The sequence below is a fragment of the Homo sapiens genome, chromosome 17 (assembly GCF_000001405.40).
Source record: "Homo sapiens chromosome 17, GRCh38.p14 Primary Assembly".
In the NCBI taxonomy this organism is placed as follows: domain Eukaryota; kingdom Metazoa; phylum Chordata; class Mammalia; order Primates; family Hominidae; genus Homo; species Homo sapiens.
Window position 1 is genome coordinate 30,618,660 of NC_000017.11, and position 22,021 is coordinate 30,640,680.

The window sequence follows — 22,021 nt, forward strand, 5'->3', positions numbered from 1 at the left end:
AACTGCAGCCTCGACCCCCTGGGCTCAAGTGACCCTCCAAATTCAGCCCCCCAGGTAGATGGGACTATAGGCTTGCACCACCACCCCAGCTAATTTTAGTTTTTTGTTTTTGTTATTTTTAGTAGAGACAGGGTTTCACCTTGTTGTTCAGGCTGGTCTAAAACTGGACTCAAGTGATTTGCCCATCTCGGCCTTCCAAAGTGCTGGGATTACAAGTGTGAGCCACCACACCCAGCAAAATAACCACAGTGGAGAGATCTGGAAGATCACCTTAAACAAGTGATCAAACTTAGCATTATGAGCCACCTGGGGTCACGAGGCAGGAAAGATACATCACCTATGCAGTATTCTTCCCAAAGATGCTTACCTTGAATCTCATGTGGAAACAGAGAAATCCAGATTGTGGGACAACTTACAAGACAACTATCTTTGACTCTTAAAAAATGCCAATGTCATGAAAGATCAAAAAAAGTAGAGGCATGTTTTAGATTAAAGGAAATGAAGACATGACATGCAGTGCCTGATCTTTGACTGGATTCTGTAGTATTCTTTCATCTTTCTGCATGTTTGAATTTTTTTCAAAATATAAATTTGGGCAAAAGAGATAACCAAGATAATTGATTAATTTATTGTTATGGCTTCTTGGGGGCAGTTTCAGAGAAATAAAAACAATCTCTGTAACTGGAATAAATTCTCAAGGTTAATCTTAAGCAGTATAGCATGGTCATTAAGAATACAGATTCCACAGCCAGACTAGGCTTAAATCCCAGCTCTGTGAATAATGTAAATTTGGGCAAATTGCTTAATCTCTGTTCCTTGGCCTTGTCATTATAATAGTACCTACCTCAAATGAGTTTTGAGGATTAAATGAATCCCTACCTGAAAAATGTCTGGCACACACTGAGTGATCAATAAATGTTAACTACTATAAATATTACATTACAGAAGTTGTAGGGGGGCCTCTTCTGAATCCTCTAAAAGGATGACTTTGTTAGGGCCACATTAAGACTGTGGAAACAGAAGAGTATTCAATGGATACATGAAGTCTGTGAGTTGGGGGTATGATGTATAGAGTTTTAGATTAAAACTGCATCCAATAAGTTGGCCTGATAAATCTTTCAAACCTACAGAGGAATAATCACAAGTGACTCGTATTCCTTTGGGTCCAATAGAAGCCTCTGATCTTCATATAGATTGAATGTACCCAGAACCATAACCTAGCATTTTACTTATATAGCAACCTTAACTCTGACACAAAGATGTTTCTTTTGTTTTGAGGCTGAGTCTCGCTCTGTTACACAGGCTGAGTGCAGTGGTGCAATCTTGGCTCACTGCAGCCTTTGTCTCCTGGGCTCAAGTGATCCTCCCGCCTCAGCCTCCTGAGTAGCTAGAACTACAGGTGCGTGCCACCACACCTGGCTCATTTTTGTATTTTTTGTAGAGATGGGGTTTCACCACGTTGCCCAGGCTGGTCTCAAACTCCTGAGCTCAAGCAACCCCCTCTCCTTGGCCTCCCAAAGTGCTGGGATTACAGGCATGAGCCCAAAGGTTTTGTTATTCTTTTCCTGCCCCCAACTTTTGATTTTAAACATTTTCTTTTTTTCCTTTAAGGTTTAGGATGGCTAGGAAGCATTTTCAAATGGTATAACGAACACCTGTATAACTTGCATCTGGAATCAACAGTAGCTAATACTTTGCCACACTTCCTTTCCATGTGTGTATGTTTATACATTCTCTGGACAAACCATTTGAGAGTCAGTTGCAGACATAATGACCCTTCACCATTAAAGACTTCAGTGTGCAGCCCCTAAGAACCAATGCATTCTCCTCCATAACCAGAAGACTCTCATCACCCAATGGAACTTAATATTATCATTGCCTACTATGCATTCCATATACACATTTTCACAATTGTCCCAATCATAACATGGCTTAAAAAATTCAGAATCCAATCAAACATCAGACATTGCATTTTCTGTTCATGATTTTTTTTTTTTTTTTTTTTTGTAGAAAGACCTTTAATACTTCTGTTTACAAAATTCGGGCATACATTTCAGTTTGCCCTGAACCGTGCCCAAGGCTGTGTGCTCATCTCTGCCAGGGTGTCTGTGCCCTTCATGTACTGCCGACCACGAGGGTGCAGAGCAGAGCCTGGGGTCCGGAGGCTTCGCTGGGCCTCAGGGGGAGGGGAATGTGAATGTGGCCCAGCCCAGAGGACCCTCCATTTCGTCGATTTTGGATTGGGCGACAGAGGAAGCAGATGTCGGGGCTGCAGACATGCTGGCCTGGACAGGGGTCTGGGGACCCCGGGGCTGCCTGCCGTGGTCTAGAGGAGATGGCTGGGGCCACTTCCCACAGGGTGGGTTGGCAGCGGCTCGGCAAGGGGAGGCCTGGCTACCAGGGGCTTGAACATTTGCTCACTGGAGCCTTTGTGCTTGGCCCTTAGCAGCACAGCTGGGGCTGTGGTCCCGTGCGAGGTGTGCTGGGGGGGTGTGTAGGTGGCTGGTGGTGGCAGCTTGTGCCAGAGTGACACAGGCTTCCGTGGGCCTGGCTGGGGGCAGTTAAAAAGCTGAAAAGGTACTTGGTGTGTGAGGGTAAGGCTTGGGAGGCAGGGCCCTAGAGGAGGCCATGTTCTCTGTCCTGGTTGAGGGGAGCAGTATGGGGGGGAAGGTGGGGCAGATCCCAGCTGGCCTCTGTCTCCTGGTTGCAAGCTGACAGCAGGCCAGGGAAACAGTGAGGCCCTCTGCCCTGGCCTTGGGGAGAAGGAGTGCATGTGTGAGGCTGGGGTACTGTGGCCCTGGAGTGGGGCTAGGGTTCATCGCCAGGAGCAGGCTTGTGGGGGGATTTAAAACCAGGGTCCTGTCTCTGAGCCACCCCACAGGGACACTCGATCCAAGCCTGTTAAGGCCGTGGAACTCGAGGGTAAGCTGTGGGCTGGGCCCCCATGGGGTCAGGATGGAGGTGGGGGCTGCCCTGGAGGAATATTAGTGTTTCTGAGAGCACCTTAGTGTTGCCCCGTCTGGGCCAGCTGGGTGAGGAGTTGGGGAGCGGGAAGAAGGCCGGCGCCATGGAGTGAGGAAGGGAGCCGTCACCGTTAGGGGTAAGCGCTAGTGTAAACAAGCGTCCCCACCCACCCCGATAAGCCTCCCACCCAAGTGTGGCTCCCTGCTGAGGGAGTACCTCAAGGGCCCGGGCCTGGGTGGCGCCAGAAGGTTTGGACACACAATTAGCCGGGGGTAGTGGCGGGCACCTTTAGTCCCAGCTACTCGGGAGGCTGAGGCAGGAGAATGGCGTTATCCCAGGGGGTGGAGCTTGCAGTGAGCAGAGATCACGCCACTGCACTCCAGCCTGGGCGACACAGTGAGACTCCATCTCAAACAAAAAAAAAAAAGAGTGCTTTATAGATTCTAGATACAAGTCTTTTCAGGGACCAGGTACAGTGGCTCATGCCTATAATCCCAGCACATTGGGAGGCTGAGGCAGGAGGATTTCTTGAGGCCAGGAGTTTTAGACCACCTGGGCAATATGGTGAAACCTTGTCTCTACCAAAAACATAAAAATTAGGCAGGTGCGGTGGTGCTCACCTGTGGTCCCAGCTACACGGGAAGCTGAGGTGGGAGGATTGCTTGAGCCTGGGAGGTCGAGGCTGCAGTGAGCTGTGATCGCCACTGCACTCCAGCCTGGGTCACAGAGTGAGATACTATCTCAAAAAGTAAATAAGTAAATAAATTAAAAACAAAAAACAAGGCCTTATAGATATGTGTTTGGTAAATATCTTCTCTCAGGTTGTGGTTTGTCTTTTCATTCTGTTAAAAGTGTTCTCTGGCTGGGCATAGTGACTCACACCTGTAATCATAGCACTTTGGGAGGCCGAGGCAGGTGGATCACTTCAAGTCAGGAGTTCGAGACCATCCTGGCCAACGTGGCAAAACCCCAATCTCTACTAAAAATACACAAATTAGCCAGTTGTGGAGGCCCATGCCTGTAATCCCAGCTACTCAGGAGGCTGAGGCACAAGAAGTGCTTGAACCTGGGAGGTGGAGGTTGCAATGAGCCAAGATTGCACCACTGCACCCCAGCCTGGGCAACAGAGTGAGACTCTGTCTCAAAAAAATAAAGAAAGAAAGAAAATAAATAAGTAAAGTTTTGTGAAGAGCAGAAGTTTTTAATTTTGATCAGCTTTAAGTTAGCAATTTTTTCTTATATGGCTTGTGCTTTTTTGTTTCTTACCTAAGAAATCTTTAAGAACCTGTTGTTTAATCCAAAGTGGAAAAGATTTACTCTCTATGTCTTCTCCCAGAAATTGTATAGTGACATTTAGATCTATGATCCATTTTGAGTTAATTTGCATATATGGTGTGAGGTTTATTGTTTCTTTGTTTTTTTGCAATTTTATTTTTATTTTTTGGAGAAATGAGGTCTCACTGTGTTGTCCAGGCTGGTTTCGAACTCCTGGCCTCAAGTGATCCTCCGGCCTCGTTCTCCCAGAGTGCTGCAATTATAGACATGAGGCATCATGCCTGGCCTTCTTTGTAGATATAGGTATAGATATATATCTATCTATATCTATATATATCTTCACCAGGTGTGATGGCACATTCCTGTAGTCCCCGCTATTAGGGAGGCTGAGGCGGGGGTATCGCTTGAACCCAGGAGGTAGAGGTTGCAGTGAGCCAAGATGACACCACTGCACTCCAGCCTGGGTGACAGAGCAAGACCCTGCCTAAAAAAAAATATATATATATATATATATATATATATTTATATATATATACACATATATATTTATACATATATATGTATATATTATATATCTTTATATATATTTCTATATATATTTTATATATTTATATTATATATATATTTTATATATTTTATATATATTATATATTATATATATATATTTTATATATATATATATATTTCTGCAGGGCCCTATTGTGAGTTTGTTACACAACTTACTGCAACTTAAATTGTGCCACCACACCCCCCCCCACAATATGGCAAGCTAAATAGAAACTCAGTTATGCTAAGGCTGGTTGAGGGCATTATGCAAGATTAGCATGGAAAGGGCCCTCTATTTGGCACTCTGCTCCGTTCATTTTTGTCAGGTCACTTTTTTATCTTCACCAGGTTGTCAGATCTGTTTTACTGCTCTAGCCTCACTTTCCTCAGCCTCCTGCAGCATCTTCCCTGTAAGCTACATCCCTTCCTCTCTGGATGAAGTCCTCTTCATCGACCAACTTTCTCACTTAGTTCTCTAAGATAGTGAGGATCTGTCTGCTTTTTTCTTGACCATTAGTGGATAGGAAAAAAATGCTCTGATTGTCTGTAACCATTTGTCACCAAGGCCATAAAGACGTTGAACTAATTTCCTTATTGGAGTTCATTATTGGAATTCTTGAGGAGTTTACACATTTATATACAAAGTAAGTAGGCCAGCTCATTTGTCTTGGCTCATGTGTAATGATCTTTAACGCGTATTGAAAAATTACTATTCTCAAGTAAGGATAATGTATATCTCAGGTCACTTACAGTCTCAAAGTTTTGTCAGTATACTTTAAAACAATCCTGCGAACAGATCTAGATTGAAGGAGACTAAAGAATCATGAACTCGAGGCGGTGCCGGGGCAGGCGCAGAGCTGGCAAGCACGTGGTGGGGCCCCTGAGGTGTGCAGAGGGTCGCGCACCTAGAAGCCTGTCGCTGGCGCGGTCTGGGCGGGAGGTTCTGCGGCGGGAGGCAGCCTGTTGGTTGCAGGGCTGAAAAAGCAGTTCTACAAGGCAAGCCAGCTGGTCAGTGAGAAGGTCGGAGGGTCTGAGGGGACCAAGCTGGACAATGACTTCAAAGAGATGGAGATGTCATCAGCAAGGCGGTGATGGAAATGCTGGCAAGGACCATCAAGTACCTGGAGCCCAACCCAGCCTCACAGGCTAAGCTGACCATGCTCAACACAGTGTGAAAGATCCAGGGCCAGGTGAAGAACCCCGGCTACCCGCAGTCGGAGGGGCTCCTGAGCGAGTGCCTGATCCGCCACCAGAAGGAGCTGGGCAACGAGTCCAACTTCAGTGATGCACTGCTGGATGCCGGCGAGTCCATGAAGCACCTGGCAGAGGTGAAGGACTCCCTGGACATAGAGGTCAAGCAGAACTTCATTGACCTCCTCCAGAACCTGTGTGAGAAAGACCTGAAGGGGATCCAGCACCACCTGCAGAAGCTAGAGGGCCGCCGCCTGGACTTTGACTAAAAGAAGCGGCAGGGCAAGATCCCCGATGAGGAGCTGCGCCAGGCGCTGGAGAAGTTTGAGGACTCCAAGGAGGTAGCAGAAACCAGCATGCACAACCTCCTGGAGACCGACATTGAGCAGATGAGTCAACTCCGGGCCCTGGCGGAGGCGCAGCTGAACGACCACTGGCAGGCCATGCAGATCCTGGACGAGCTGGCAGAGAAGCTCAAGCGCAGGATGCGGGAAGCTTCCTCACGCCCCAAGCGGGAGTATAAGCCCAAGTTCTGGGAGCCCTTTGACCTCGGAGAGCCTGAGCAGTCCAACGGGGGCTTCCCCTGCACCACAGTCCCCAAGATCGCAGCTTCATCCCCTTTCCAATCTTCCAACAAGTCCATCTGTACTCCTAGCAGGAGCATGCCGCCCCTAGACCAGCCAAGCTGCAAGGTGCTGTATGACTTCCAGCCTGAGAACCATGGGGAGCTGGGCTTCCATGAGGGCGACGTCTTCACGCTCATCAACCAGATCAACGAGAACTGGTACCAGGGCATGCTGGACGGCCAGTTGGGCTTCTTCCTGCTCAGCTACATGGACGTGCTCATGCCTCTGCCCAGTGACTCACTGGTGCCCCCGCCCCACCCCTCCATCCACACTGGGTGGCACCCCCTGCCAGGTCTCCTGCCTTCCATGGGCTCCTGCTGCCAGGGCGGTGTCCAAGCCTTCTGGCGCCACCCAGGCCCGGGCCCTTGAGGTACTCCCTCAGCAGGGAGCCACACTTGGGTGGGAGGCTTATCGGGGTGGGTGGGGACGCTTGTTTACACTAGCGCTTACCCCTAACGGTGACGGCTCCCTTCCTCACTCCATGGCGCCGGCCTTCTTCCCGCTCCCCAACTCCTCACCCAGCTGGCCCAGACGGGGCAACACTAAGGTGCTCTCAGAAACACTAATATTCCTCCAGGGCAGCCCCCACCTCCATCCTGACCCCATGGGGGCCCAGCCCACAGCTTACCCTCGAGTTCCACGGCCTTAACAGGCTTGGATCGAGTGTCCCTGTGGGGTGGCTCAGAGACAGGACCCTGGTTTTAAATCCCCCCACAAGCCTGCTCCTGGCGATGAACCCTAGCCCCACTCCAGGGCCACAGTACCCCAGCCTCACACATGCACTCCTTCTCCCCAAGGCCAGGGCAGAGGGCCTCACTGTTTCCCTGGCCTGCTGTCAGCTTGCAACCAGGAGACAGAGGCCAGCTGGGATCTGCCCCACCTTCCCCCCCATACTGCTCCCCTCAACCAGGACAGAGAACATGGCCTCCTCTAGGGCCCTGCCTCCCAAGCCTTACCCTCACACACCAAGTACCTTTTCAGCTTTTTAACTGCCCCCAGCCAGGCCCACGGAAGCCTGTGTCACTCTGGCACAAGCTGCCACCACCAGCCACCTACACACCCCCCCAGCACACCTCGCACGGGACCACAGCCCCAGCTGTGCTGCTAAGGGCCAAGCACAAAGGCTCCAGTGAGCAAATGTTCAAGCCCCTGGTAGCCAGGCCTCCCCTTGCCGAGCCGCTGCCAACCCACCCTGTGGGAAGTGGCCCCAGCCATCTCCTCTAGACCACGGCAGGCAGCCCCGGGGTCCCCAGACCCCTGTCCAGGCCAGCATGTCTGCAGCCCCGACATCTGCTTCCTCTGTCGCCCAATCCAAAATCGACGAAATGGAGGGTCCTCTGGGCTGGGCCACATTCACATTCCCCTCCCCCTGAGGCCCAGCGAAGCCTCCGGACCCCAGGCTCTGCTCTGCACCCTCGTGGTCGGCAGTACATGAAGGGCACAGACACCCTGGCAGAGATGAGCACACAGCCTTGGGCACGGTTCAGGGCAAACTGAAATGTATGCCCGAATTTTGTAAACAGAAGTATTAAAGGTCTTTCTACAAAAAAAAAAAAAAAAAAAAATCATGAACAGAAAATGCAATGTCTGATGTTTGATTGGATTCTGAATTTTTTAAGCCATGTTATGATTGGGACAATTGTGAAAATGTGTATATGGAATGCATAGTAGGCAATGATAATATTAAGTTCCATTGGGTGATGAGAGTCTTCTGGTTATGGAGGAGAATGCATTGGTTCTTAGGGGCTGCACACTGAAGTCTTTAATGGTGAAGGGTCATTATGTCTGCAACTGACTCTCAAATGGTTTGTCCAGAGAATGTATAAACATACACACATGGAAAGGAAGTGTGGCAAAGTATTAGCTACTGTTGATTCCAGATGCAAGTTATACAGGTGTTCGTTATACCATTTGAAAATGCTTCCTAGCCATCCTAAACCTTAAAGGAAAAAAAGAAAATGTTTAAAATCAAAAGTTGGGGGCAGGAAAAGAATAACAAAACCTTTGGGCTCATGCCTGTAATCCCAGCACTTTGGGAGGCCAAGGAGAGGGGGTTGCTTGAGCTCAGGAGTTTGAGACCAGCCTGGGCAACGTGGTGAAACCCCATCTCTACAAAAAATACAAAAATGAGCCAGGTGTGGTGGCACGCACCTGTAGTTCTAGCTACTCAGGAGGCTGAGGCGGGAGGATCACTTGAGCCCAGGAGACAAAGGCTGCAGTGAGCCAAGATTGCACCACTGCACTCAGCCTGTGTAACAGAGCGAGACTCAGCCTCAAAACAAAAGAAACATCTTTGTGTCAGAGTTAAGGTTGCTATATAAGTAAAATGCTAGGTTATGGTTCTGGGTACATTCAATCTATATGAAGATCAGAGGCTTCTATTGGACCCAAAGGAATACGAGTCACTTGTGATTATTCCTCTGTAGGTTTGAAAGATTTATCAGGCCAACTTATTGGATGCAGTTTTAATCTAAAACTCTATACATCATACCCCCAACTCACAGACTTCATGTATCCATTGAATACTCTTCTGTTTCCACAGTCTTAATGTGGCCCTAACAAAGTCATCCTTTTAGAGGATTCAGAAGAGGCCCCCCTACAACTTCTGTAATGTAATATTTATAGTAGTTAACATTTATTGATCACTCAGTGTGTGCCAGACATTTTTCAGGTAGGGATTCATTTAATCCTCAAAACTCATTTGAGGTAGGTACTATTATAATGACAAGGCCAAGGAACAGAGATTAAGCAATTTGCCCAAATTTACATTATTCACAGAGCTGGGATTTAAGCCTAGTCTGGCTGTGGAATCTGTATTCTTAATGACCATGCTATACTGCTTAAGATTAACCTTGAGAATTTATTCCAGTTACAGAGATTGTTTTTATTTCTCTGAAACTGCCCCCAAGAAGCCATAACAATAAATTAATCAATTATCTTGGTTATCTCTTTTGCCCAAATTTATATTTTGAAAAAAATTCAAACATGCAGAAAGATGAAAGAATACTACAGAATCCAGTCAAAGATCAGGCACTGCATGTCATGTCTTCATTTCCTTTAATCTAAAACATGCCTCTACTTTTTTTGATCTTTCATGACATTGGCATTTTTTAAGAGTCAAAGATAGTTGTCTTGTAAGTTGTCCCACAATCTGGATTTCTCTGTTTCCACATGAGATTCAAGGTAAGCATCTTTGGGAAGAATACTGCATAGGTGATGTATCTTTCCTGCCTCGTGACCCCAGGTGGCTCATAATGCTAAGTTTGATCACTTGTTTAAGGTGATCTTCCAGATCTCTCCACTGTGGTTATTTTGCTGGGTGTGGTGGCTCACACTTGTAATCCCAGCACTTTGGAAGGCCGAGATGGGCAAATCACTTGAGTCCAGTTTTAGACCAGCCTGAACAACAAGGTGAAACCCTGTCTCTACTAAAAATAACAAAAACAAAAAACTAAAATTAGCTGGGGTGGTGGTGCAAGCCTATAGTCCCATCTACCTGGGGGGCTGAATTTGGAGGGTCACTTGAGCCCAGGGGGTCGAGGCTGCAGTTAGCTATGATTTTGTCACTGTACTTCAGCCTAGGTGACAGAGTGAGACCTTGTCTCATAAAAAAATAAAAAATAACTTTTCCCTTTGGTAATTAATAAAAAATCTGTGGGGTGGTACTTTGAGATCAGTGAAGATCCTGTTCTCAAATGTCTTTTCACCCAACTGTTCATCAATGATAATCTTTGTCTGAATCTATTTTTATTACATTGGTGGTTGCAAAGTGACACTTTTTAAAATTCTGTCATTCCTTCTACATTTATTAGCTAGCATTATTTCATTAAAGAACAACTCCCCCTCTTTTAAAATATCATTCTTCATGGATTTTTTATATATTATGTTGTAGCTTATTGTTGTTATTCTTTTGAAAGCTCAAATTGTCCAGATTTGGCCAATGCAATCTCCGTTATTTTTTTTAACCCCACAATCCAGGTTAAGCTGAGCTATTTTTAATGCCCAGAGTAATTTCTAATACTTCCCACTCCCAACAGAAATTGAGAAAGGGCCTTCAGAAGTTGGGGGCTTATTCAGACTCTTCTTAGAAGTCTACCTTCTTCCTGTATACTTTCAGCCCAAAGTGAGACTTTTGAGTCGGGAAGAGATACCTCTGAATTTAAACTACTGATCAGTGTCACCCAATTCTAATCCCAACCACCTTTATTCTAGGCATACCATACTCACTGCCATGCTTACCCTTCAGTTGGGCACCTGTGTCCTCCTTCCCATTGGCCTTCTGGTTCCTACCCAAGTGTCCAGTCCACAGGCCTCAGTAACACCTCTTTGCCCAGCCCTGTGGTAGCGTTGGCTGCCTCCTTTACCTACTCAAGTAACCGCCTTACCACTAATTTATTGTTTTGTGTTTTCATCTATAGGATCTTACCTAGCCATATGGCCTGCTGCCTCTGCCAATTTAAAAATAGCATTGAGGCTGTCTGCAAGACAGTCAAGCTGCATTGCAACACTGCATGTCTAACAGCATACACTGTCGTGAGTCCAAATTGCCTGGTGATGATAAATTGTTACATTATTTTAAGTATTTGTTTTTAAATTTTTATTTTTAATTGATGAAATGTTAAGCTAATGATTTAATTGTTTTATTTACTCAGTCAGATTTCAACTCCCTCAACTTCTGAACGACTCCCTTGCTGGGAGTCAGGTTCTCAGTTATTATTACAAAGTTTAATAATGGAACCGTTCCATATGCATAAAGGACCAAGAGAAAGGAATGGGAAGGCTAGGGAATAACATTAACATCCACACACTGTGTACTGTGCTCTCTGCTTGGTGCTTTGCCCCCAGTGATAATTTCTTCATATAGTGCAATGTAGTTTGTAAGCTGGTTTTATATCCATGAGGTCTCAAGTACTCTCTGCCTTTTAGGACAGATGTAGATCCGGTTTTGTTTTTGTTTTTGTTTTTACAGTTTTATAAGAGTAGAAGTGATGCTGTTTTATTTGAAGCCTGAGAGCTTCTGGTTCCATAACCAGAAATTGCTACCTGGCTCTTCTATTGGAATGGAGGGCTTTTCCATTCTTAGTCCATCCAACTCTGAACTTGCTCTGAATCTCAAACCTTTCTATTCGCAGAACAAATGCTCAAATGCTTTCAAGAGTTTTTCTGTAGATTAGGTTTATTAGCACCAACTTCATGACTTCTAAAATGTGACTGCTTGAATACAGGTATCTACCAGTGATATGGGGTGGATAATTAATAATGCTTGGCTACCTCTATAAAGACAGTGTTGCTTATTTTTCAGAACTTTTTTTTTTTCTTTTCTTGTTTTTTTTTTTTACCAATTATATTCTTCCCTTCTCCCCAAGAGGCGGGCAGAAAAGCATTGTTAATCTCCTTTTACAGGTGAGGAAAAACAAGATCAGAGGTGCTAAGTGCTGTAGCCTAGTGCCAGGTCTTCTGTCCCCAATTCTGGGTTCTCCCCAAGCCCATGTTTCTCCTTTCTCGCAATCTTTACTACTTCCGCTGACCTTCAGCACCACCCAAAATACTTTTAATTCTGGAAAAGAAGCCCAGCTGCACACTGGCACACTTGACCTTCATGCAGTCAGAAGCTTTGGATGGTTCCCCATCCAAAATATTAGAGATGAATGAAAGTGAAGTAGGCATCTGACAAAAGTCACTTTTTCCCTTCTGCATTTAGGACCTCAAGTAATGTTTATCCAGAAACTGCTACCATACCATAGATTCATTGTATATTTAACAACATAGGCATACAATCTGGCAAATTAAAAATCTCCTAACCTACACCCTGGATCCCTGCCCAAATTTAAGAAAAGAACTAAGGTGGACACAGTGTTTTTTTCCATGTCGCATCTTCTGTGATGGGGCTATGATATGTGGGAGCAGAGAATGGGGTGGGTGGGTGGAGCACATGCCAGATGAGGATCTATCAGCAATGGGAGGGGGCATCCCTCCCTGCTCCTTTAGCATCTCCACCCTGCTCCTCTCAGAGGACCGCCTTTCATTGCATTCAGCTGCGATGGTAGCAAGAACACGGGCACACTGAGGATGAGGAGAGTGGGAGCCTTGTGCTCTCTCTGCATATGAGGCAGGACAGCACAGGGTATGGAGCAGTCTGCAGAGAGGCCAGTTCATCAGCTCATCAGGGAAGCACTTGTCTTCCACCTTGGGCTTTGACTGAGCACTGGGCAATTGGCCCCTGGGGATCAACGGAATAATCCTAAGCAGAGTTACTCTATGTCACACTATGGAATGTTCCAAGTAGGTGGCCATGTTTTCAAAAGATGTCTTTTCCTCCTTTCGTTGTTGCCGTTTCATAGGTTTAGGTTTGGGTGTATGTTTCTCCTCTCTGAATGGCACTCGAATGTTTGCTGACTCTTACTCTGTGTGACTGGGGCATACAGCTATGGACTGAGTATGAAAGATGATCAAAGATATTTCATGATCAAAGCAGTCTCTTCTTTTCTGACAGCTGAAGAAGCATCTGTAGGGAATCCAGAAGGAGCATTCATGAAGATGTTACAAGCCCGGAAGCAGCACATGAGCACTGAGCTGACTATTGAGTCGGAGGCGCCCTCAGACAGCAGTGGCATCAACTTGTCAGGCTTTGGGAGTGAGCAGCTAGACACCAATGACGAGAGTGATGTTAGCAGCGCACTAAGTTACATCTTGCCTTATCTCTCACTGAGAAATCTAGGTGCAGAATCAATATTGTTACCGTTCACTGAACAGCTATTTTCAAATGTACAAGATGGAGATAGGCTCCTGAGTATTTTGAAAAACAATAGAAAGAGCCCCTCACAGTCCAGCCTTCTAGGTAACAAATTTAAAAACAAAATATTTGAAAAAAAAATTAGAAACTGCGCAACCACAGGAAAACCGCCTGGCAAAGATTCAAAGTGTAGGCAAAAACCTGCAGAGAGTGAACAGAGTCCTCATGGGCCCAAGGAGCATCCAGGAAAGGCACTTCAAAAAGGTGGGAAAGCACAGCACTAGGAAAGAACAGGATGCCCAGGCATTTGTGGACAATGCTGCCAAAGGAAAAAGGCTTGAGGGTCCAGCCCCAAGGGAGCTGGAACAGCCTCACATAGTGCAGGGGCCTGAGAAGGTAGTGGGAAACACCATCTACACCAAGCCTTCATTCACCCAAGAGCATAAGGCAGCAGTCTCCTCTGTGCTGAAACCCTTCTCCATGGGCGTGCCTTCTGCCTCTAGCCCTGCAAAAGCCCTACCTCAGGTCAGAGACAGATCGAAAGACTTAGCCTACACCATTTTAATTTTAGAAATGGCAATGGCTAGAGTGAAAAACATGAAGGCTGCTAAACCAATCACACATTCCAGAAAAAAATAGCGCTTTTATAAAACTCACTCCATTGTGGCCCACAGAACACCCAAGGCCAAAAAGATTAGAAAGTTTAGAAAGGGCAGTTATCTCAACAGACCGATGCTCGCAAAGAGGCCGCTGTTCTCTGCAGCAAAGAGCCTCATACATTCGCAAGGGATTTTTTCATCCTTAGGAGACCTGAGTCCTCAAGAAAACCCTCTTCTGGAAGTAGTTGCTCCTTCAGAACGTTTTACAGAAAACACTAATGTAAAAGACACAACTAATGTAAAAGACACAAAAGAGATGTGTTCAAAGACACATCTCTGAAAACACAAACTACAATCATCCTCCTGAGGCAGTTTCCGCTGGGACTGCATTCAACTTAGAACCAACTGTTAAACAAACTGAGACAAAATGGGAATACAACAATGTGGGCATTGACTTGTCCCCTGAGCCCAAAAGCTTCAATTACCCATTGCTCTCGTCCCCAGGTGATCAGCTTGAAATTCAGCTAACCGAGCAGCTACGGTCCCTCATCCCCAACGAGGATGTGAGAAAGTTCATGTCTCATGTTATCTGGACCTTGAAAATGGAATGTTCAGAAACACATGTGCAAGGGAGCTGTGCCAAGCTCATGTCGCGAACAGGCCTCCTGATGAAGCTTCTCAGCGAGCAGCAGGAAGCAAAGGCATTGAATGTAGAATGGGATACGGACCAACAAAAAACAAATTATATTAATGAGAACATGGAACAGAATGAACAGAAAGAGCAGAAGTCAAGTGAGGTGAGGAGCACACAGAAACATGAGACCCAGATTTCCCATCATTTAGCATATGCCAGGAAAGTGCCCACATAGGAGAACCTGGGACTCCCAGGCCATAGCTTGTCTTGGCCATGTAACTTTGGCCATGACAGTGATCTCCCACTTTGCTCATGTAGACAGTGAAATAGATTAGGGCACAAGATGAACTGTAGGCCAGGGGTGGTAGCTCATGCCTGTAATCCCAGCACTTTGGGAGGCCGAGGTGGGTGGATCACTTGAGGTCAGGAGTTTAAGACCAGCTCGGCCAACGTAGTGAAACCCCGTCTTCACAAAAAATACAAAAATTAGCTGCGTGTGGTGACACGTGCCTGTAGTCCCAGCTACTCAGGAGGCTGAGGTGGGAGGATCACCTGAGCCCAGGGAGGTCGAGTCAGTAGTGAACTGTGATCGCACCACTGTACTCCCGCCTGGGTGACAGAGTGAGATCCTGTCTCAAAAAAAATAAAAAGAACAAAAGAACCTGTAAGCTACTCAACTGGAATACTGGGGTTTTGAAAAGTTAGCTTCCATTCTCTCTCTCTTTTTAATTGTTCTTTCTTTTTTCTTTTTTTTTTTTTTTTTTAGCTCATGAAAGAAGTTCCAGGATATGACTATAAGAACAAACTCATCTTCGCAATATCTGTGACTGTCATACTAATAATTTTGATTATAATTTTTTGTTTTATAGAGGTAAAGACAATAATTAATTCAGGTTTTCAAAATACAATCCTGTGTTTGTGTGGATTCAGAATCCACAAACTGAAAACCAACGTCACTTTCCCACTTGACATTCTTCTTCTGTCATTTAAGGCTGAGGTGTGCTTTGTTCTTTTACTGCAATGTATATTCCAGGATTGTTAAAGGATCCTCGCTTCCAGGAGGTCTCTGTGAAATAAAACCAAGTTAATCCCACTAGACTATTTTAAGAAGTTAAGTTGATATAATAGCAAAATTTCTCCCACCCAAAACTATGTCAACAATTGGATGTACTCACTGAGTCACCCCTTACTCTGCCACTAATTTATTTCCTTGTTGCTTAAATGATGAGAGACATATAATCTCCACCCTCACGGAGTTGTCATCACCCTGGAGAGGAAGAAGACAGCCAAAAGAGAGAAGTATTGTCTTGTAGACTTACTAGATTCACATAGTATCATCCTTCTCCAGTGTGTAAGGTGTTGTCTAAATAGGTCCAGTTAAAGAACTACAGGGTAGCCATTTTTAAAAAAAAATTTTGGCCACGTTTTCAAATTCACAGGGGAGGGGGAATGTCTCATACTCCAGCCCTCCTGAGCCTAGGCCCTCTGTGAGATGTGTCACCATTTCTTGGACACCATATGAGACATTCCCCCTCGGATTAGAGATGCTCAACCTGCATCAACAAATCTAAAGCCTGCATCTGGCTACCCTGGGGCGAGTCCTGTTTACAGTGCCTATTCCTGGAGCTCGCCTCTTTTTGCCTTTTGTTTGATTATGTGATGTATTACTTTTCCCAGCAGGCCAGTGCTAGCATACTGGAAGAGGGATTTAATAAGCTGGCACCCTTGATGCTATGCTCCTAATCCAACCTTATTTGCCTCATTGGCCATTTCCATTATGGTGGCAGCCCTCCATTCCAGCCACAGCAGCCCCTCAGCGTCCCCCAGTCACACTGTCCCCATTGCTGCTCATCTGTGCCTTTGTCCATCTACAATGCCCTTATTTCACTCTGCCTGTGGGAGTCCTGTGAATCTCTCCAAAGCCAACTCAGTTCATCTTTCTGCTTGAAACCTTCCCTGAATAGGCCAGGTGCGGTGGCTCACGCCTGTAATCCCAGCACTTTGGGAGGCCAAGGCAGGCGGATCACAAGGTCAGGAGATCGAGACCATCCTGGCTAACACAGACCATTCTCTACTAAAAATGCAAAAAATTAGCTGGGTGTGGTGGCGGGCGTGTGTCGTCCCAGCTACTTGTGAGGCTGAAGCAGGAAAATGGCATGAACCTGGGAGGTGGAGCATGCAGCCAGCCAAGATCGGGCCGCTGCACTCCAGCCTGGGGGACAGAGCGAGACTCTGCCTCAAAAAAAAAAAAAAAAAGAAACTTCCCTGAATATTCCAGCCCTCCTGAGCCTAGTCCCTTTGTGAGATTTGTCCCCATTTCTTGGACACCATATAAGAGACTTCAGAGGCTGAAGTGGGAGGATTGCTTGAGCCTGGGAGGTCGAGGATGCAGTGAGCTGTGGTCATACCACTGCACTCTAGCCTGGGCAACAGAGCGAGACCTTGTCTCAAAAACAGCCACCACCAAAAACTATCTTGGGATTTGAATAGGATTACCTTAAATTTGTAGATTAATTTGAGAATTGACATCTGTACGACATTCTAGAACATGGTATTTCATGTCATGTATTCATTTCTTGTTAATGTCTTTCAGAAGAGTTTTAGGGTTTCCATCATATAGATCTTACACGTCTTTTGTTAGATAACAGATCTTTGTATTTTTGTTCCTAAATACTTCAGACATTTGTATTGCCATTGTAAATGGGATCTTTCTTCCATTTTCTAGTTAGTTATTGGTGGTACATCTGAAAAGCATTTGAGGTTTGTGTGCTGCTCTCTTGATTTTGTTTCTAGCCACCGTACTGAATTCTCATATTACTTCCAGTAAAATCTTAGTTGATTCTCTTAGGCTTCTTTGGCTAACATTTATTATTTTATATGCAAATAATTATAGTTTTGTCTCTTCCTTTTCAATACTTACACTCTTTCCTTCCTTTCCTTTCTTTTTTTTTTCTTTCTCAGGGCCTTGTTGTCACCCAGACTGGAGAGCAATGGTGTGATCTAGCTCACTGTAACCTCAAACTCCTGGGCTTAAGGGATCCTCCTGCCTCAGCTTCCTGAGTGGCTGGGACTACAGGCAGGCAGTGAATTTTAAAACTTTTGGTGTAGAGACAAGATCTTGCTATGTTGCCCAGGCTGGTTTTCCTGCCACTTTAGAGCAGGTTTCCTTTTTTTCATACTTTTAAGAGGTTTTTATTAGGAATTGTCCATTGAATGTTAGCTAAAACAGTCAATAAAATGCGTTAAGTACCAGCTACATGCAAGACCCTAAGTTAGATACAGTCAGCCCTCTTCATCAGCAGGTCCACATCTTCAGATTCAACTAGATAAGGCTGAATATTTGAAGAAAAAAACAATAAAAATACAATTAGAAAGTACAGTATAACAACTGTTGCCATGATACAATATCTATACATTTTATTAGTGATGACCTAAAGTTCATGGGACCAGGCACGGTGACTCACACTTGTAATCCCAACACTTTGGGAGGCCAACCTGGGCAGCATAGTGAGACCTTGTCTTTAATAAAAATAAAAATAAAAAAATTAGCTAGTGTGGTGGTATGCACCTGTAGTCCCAGCTACTCAAGAGGCTGAGGTGGGCAGATCACTGGAGCCCAGGAGGTTGCGGCTGCTGTGAGCTGTGATTGTGACACTGCTCTCCAGCCTGAGTGACAGAGGGTGATCCTGTCTCTAAGTAAGTAAATAAATAAAGTATATGGGGGGGATGTGTGTTGGTTATATGCAAACACTGCACCATTATACGTAAGGGATTGAGCATCCACAGATTCTGGTATGGTGTGGAGGCGATATCCTAGAACCAGTCGTCTGCAAGGTAGCAAGGATGACTGAACTGTGGAAGAATCAAAGCACTGTTAAACAGCATACAATTCCTGTCTTCAAAAAAGTTATCTCATCGGGTAGATGAGACTTAAAATGAATAAAAGGAATGAATACACATTGGAGATAGTGGTTGTTGTGATAGATAACCTTAATTGTGTTTTCTTCCAAAACGGGTGAATTCACATAAAAGGGCATCAGAAAAATACAAAGACAACCCATCAATATCAGGAGCCTGAGCATGAGTTAAAGCATGTGGATGGCCTAGAGCCATGTTTTTAAAATTGTTATTAAATATTGGTTTTTTACTTAAATCAATGAAAACTTTCTTTACTTTGTGGTTGTGTTCCTCAAAATGAGAATTTTTAACAATAATAAAAATAAAGCTTATTAGATCATTTTTAATGGTAATAAATTGGTTACTGAAGATTTGACTAAAGAGAAAACTAGGCCAATCTAAGTAGAGTCCAAATGAAGTAGAAAGTCCATAGAGAACAGGCAAAAAGGAAGTTGTGGAACCACAGACAGTAAAAGGAAAAAATTGGCGGGGCGCAATGGCTCATACCTGTAATCCCAGCACTTTGGGAGGCTGAGGTGGGTGGATCGCTTGAGCCCAGTTCAGGCAACATGACAAAACCCCCACCTCTACAAAAAAAATAGTCAACATGACAAAACCCCCAATGTCTACAAAAAAATACACAAAACATATGAGCCAGGGGTGGTGGTGTGCACTTGTAGTCCTAGCTACTTGGTAGGCTGAGGTGGGAGTATCGCTTGAACCTGGGAGGTGGAGGTTGCAGTAAGCTGAGGTTGAGCTGTTATACCCCAACCTGGGTGACAGTTGAAAGAGTGAGACCCTGTCTTTAAAAAAAAAAAAAAAAGGAAGAAAGCAAAGAAAAAAAAATTTATTTTTGTGACAAGTTCTCTTTCTGTCTCCCAAGCTGGAGTGCAATGGCATAATCATAGCCCACTGCAGCCTCAAACTCCTGGGCTCAAGGCATCCTCCTGCCATAAAGGCCTCCCAAAGTGTTGGGATTACAGGCATAAGCCACTGTGAGGCTAGATTTTTTTTTTTTTTTTTTTTTTAAGCAAGGTTTGGCTCTGTCACCCAGGCTGGAGTGCAGTGGTGCAATCTTGGCTCACTGCAACCTCTGCCTCCCAGGCTCAAGTGATCCTCCTGCCTCAGCTTCTCAAGTAGGTGGAACTACAGGCACGTGCCACCAAGCCTGGCTAATTTTTGTATTTTTTGTAAAGAAGGGGTCTTGATACGTTGCCCAGGCTGGTCTTAAATTCCTGGGTTACAGTGATCCACCCACCTCAGCCTCCCAAAGTGCTGGGATTACAGGTGTGAGTCACCACGACTGGCCAAAAAAAGTTAAGTGTTAAAATCAAAAAGAAAATTCACCAAGCCATTTTGCATATTTTTCTGGAAAGATACAGATACATATATATACATATATATAGAGAGAGAGAGAGAAAGAGAGAGAGATCTGGACTGGACACCCTATACTATCAGTTGGGTACAACTTTGTTTCAGAAAGGACAAAGGGAACTGATTAGAGTTAAGGCACATATATGTGTGTGTGTGTGTGTGTGTATTTTCCCAATTCCTCATACCACTCCTTTTTATTAATTTTTATTGAGATATAAGTTATACACCATAAATTCACCCTTTTAAATAAGTGCAGAATTTAGTGGGTTTTAGTATAGTATTCACAAGGCTGTACAGCCATCACCACTATTTAATTCCAGAACATTTTCATCACCCCAGAAAGAAGCCCCAGAATCACTGGCCCTGCTCCCCATTTCCTCTCCTATTTCCTGGCAAGTATTTACTTCCTATGAATTTGCCCATTTGGGACATTTCATATAAATCATACAATACATGATTTCACTAAATAAGACTTTTGTGTGTGGCTTCAAACAATTTTTAAAAATTGAGGTAAAGTAGGCATAATATAACATTTACAGTCTAACCACTGCCCCCTCTCCCCACCTATTTTTTGAGACAGGGTCTCACTCTGTCTTCCTGGCTGGAGTGCAGTGGTGTGATCATGACTCACTGCAACCTCAGCCTCCCCGGGGCTCAGGTGATCCTCCCACCTCAGTCTCGCAAGTAACTGGCACCACAGGCACACACCACCAAACCTGGCCAATTTTTGCATTGTAGAGACAGGATTTCGCTATGTTGCCCAGGCTGGTCTTGAACTCCTGGACTCAAGTGATCCTCCCACCTCAGCCTCCCAAAGTGCTGGTATTACCGGCATGAGCTACCACACCTGGCTGTCTCTAACCAGTTTTAAGTGTACAATTCAGTAGTGTTAAGTATATTCACACTGTTGTAAAACAAATTTCCAGAACTTTTTCATCTTCCCAAATTGAAACTCTGTACCTATTAAACACTAATTCCCCATTCTCTCCTCCCAGCCCATGGTAACCACCCTTCTACTTTCTGTCTTTATGAATCTGACCACTCTAAGTACCTCATATGAGAGGAATCACACAGTATTTGTCCTTTGGTGACTGGCTTATTTCACTTAGCATAATGCCCTCAAGGGTTCTCCATGTTGTAACATGCGTCAGAAATTCATTCAAGGCTGAATAATATATCCGTTATATAGATCAATCACATTTGAGTTATCCATTCATCAGTTAATGCACATGTAGGTTATTTCCACCTTTTGGTCATTGAGAATAATGCTGCTGTATACATACGTGTATGCGTTTCTGCATGACTATTTGTTTGCAATTCTTTTGACTATGTATGTCTCGGCTCACTGCAACCTCCGCTTCCCGGGTTCAAGCGATTCTCCTGCCTCAGCCTCTCGAGTAGCTGGGATTAGAGGCACCTGCCACCACACCCGGCTAATCTTTGTATTATTAGTAGAGACGGGGTTTCACCATGTTGGCCAGGCTGGTCTCAAACTCCTGACCTCAGGTGATCCACCCACCTCAGCCTCCCAAAGTGCTGGGATTAGAAGTATGAGCCACCACACCTGGCCATGAATTTGGTCCAGTGTCTGAACTTCACCTCTAGAGTCCCTTCCAGCCTCCTACCTCACTCCCACCTTGGCCTCCTGAGTAGCTGGGACAACAGGCTTGCGCCACCATTAACCAGCTCATTAAAAAAAAGTTTTTTTCTTTGTAAATATGGGGTCTCCCCATGTTTCCCAGACTCCAAACCTATTTCCTAACCTTTATCATTATCTGCTTCTGTGGGATGTGAATGGAAGCGAGGTGTGCTACATTCAGGCTTTTAACACCTCCCACCTGCACCTTCTAATTCTTCCTTTGCATCTTCTGGCTGGACAAAGAGGGTCTTGTGGGGCCTCTGAGTCACTGGAAGAAGGTGAAGCCACAATATAGCTGGAGTCTGGTTCCCAGGTGCAGCAGTGTGATGTGAGTGAGAAAGTAGCCTTTAGTGCATTAAGCCACTGGGATCTACAGGTTGCTCGTAGATCAACCACGTCTACAGACGTGGGGGCACCACCATGCTCAGCTAATTTGTTATATGTTTATGTAGAGATGGGGTCTTGCTATGTTGCCCAGGCTGGTCTCAAACTTCTGGGCTTATGTGATCCTCCCATCTCAGCCTCCCAAGTAGCTGGGACTGC

At 45.2% G+C, this 22,021-nt stretch overlaps 4 pseudogenes across 2 annotated transcripts in view, besides 1 other annotated feature; 3 read left to right on the forward strand and 1 right to left on the reverse strand.

The window, feature by feature from the left end:
* SMURF2P1-LRRC37BP1 (SMURF2P1-LRRC37BP1 readthrough transcribed pseudogene) overlaps positions 1-18,807 on the forward strand; it is a 61,002-nt pseudogene extending 42,195 nt beyond the window's left edge. The window contains exons 7-9 of the transcript NR_015341.2: positions 13,096-13,268; positions 14,439-14,731; positions 15,335-18,807. The product of NR_015341.2 is annotated as an SMURF2P1-LRRC37BP1 readthrough transcribed pseudogene (transcript). The remainder of the gene's footprint in view (positions 1-13,095; positions 13,269-14,438; positions 14,732-15,334) is intronic.
* On the forward strand, positions 5,659-8,164 carry SH3GL1P2 (SH3 domain containing GRB2 like 1, endophilin A2 pseudogene 2; annotated as a pseudogene). Its single transcript, NR_033420.1, has one exon. The product of NR_033420.1 is annotated as an SH3 domain containing GRB2 like 1, endophilin A2 pseudogene 2 (transcript).
* Positions 8,419-8,503: a non allelic homologous recombination region, noted in NCBI's record as "recombines with the NF1-REPc UWA160-1 recombination region". NCBI's record gives the evidence for it as "EXISTENCE:nucleotide sequencing assay evidence [ECO:0000219][PMID:15236313]".
* On the reverse strand, positions 11,021-18,805 carry LOC100420850 (leucine rich repeat containing 37B pseudogene; annotated as a pseudogene).
* Positions 13,096-18,805, forward strand: LRRC37BP1 (leucine rich repeat containing 37B pseudogene 1; annotated as a pseudogene).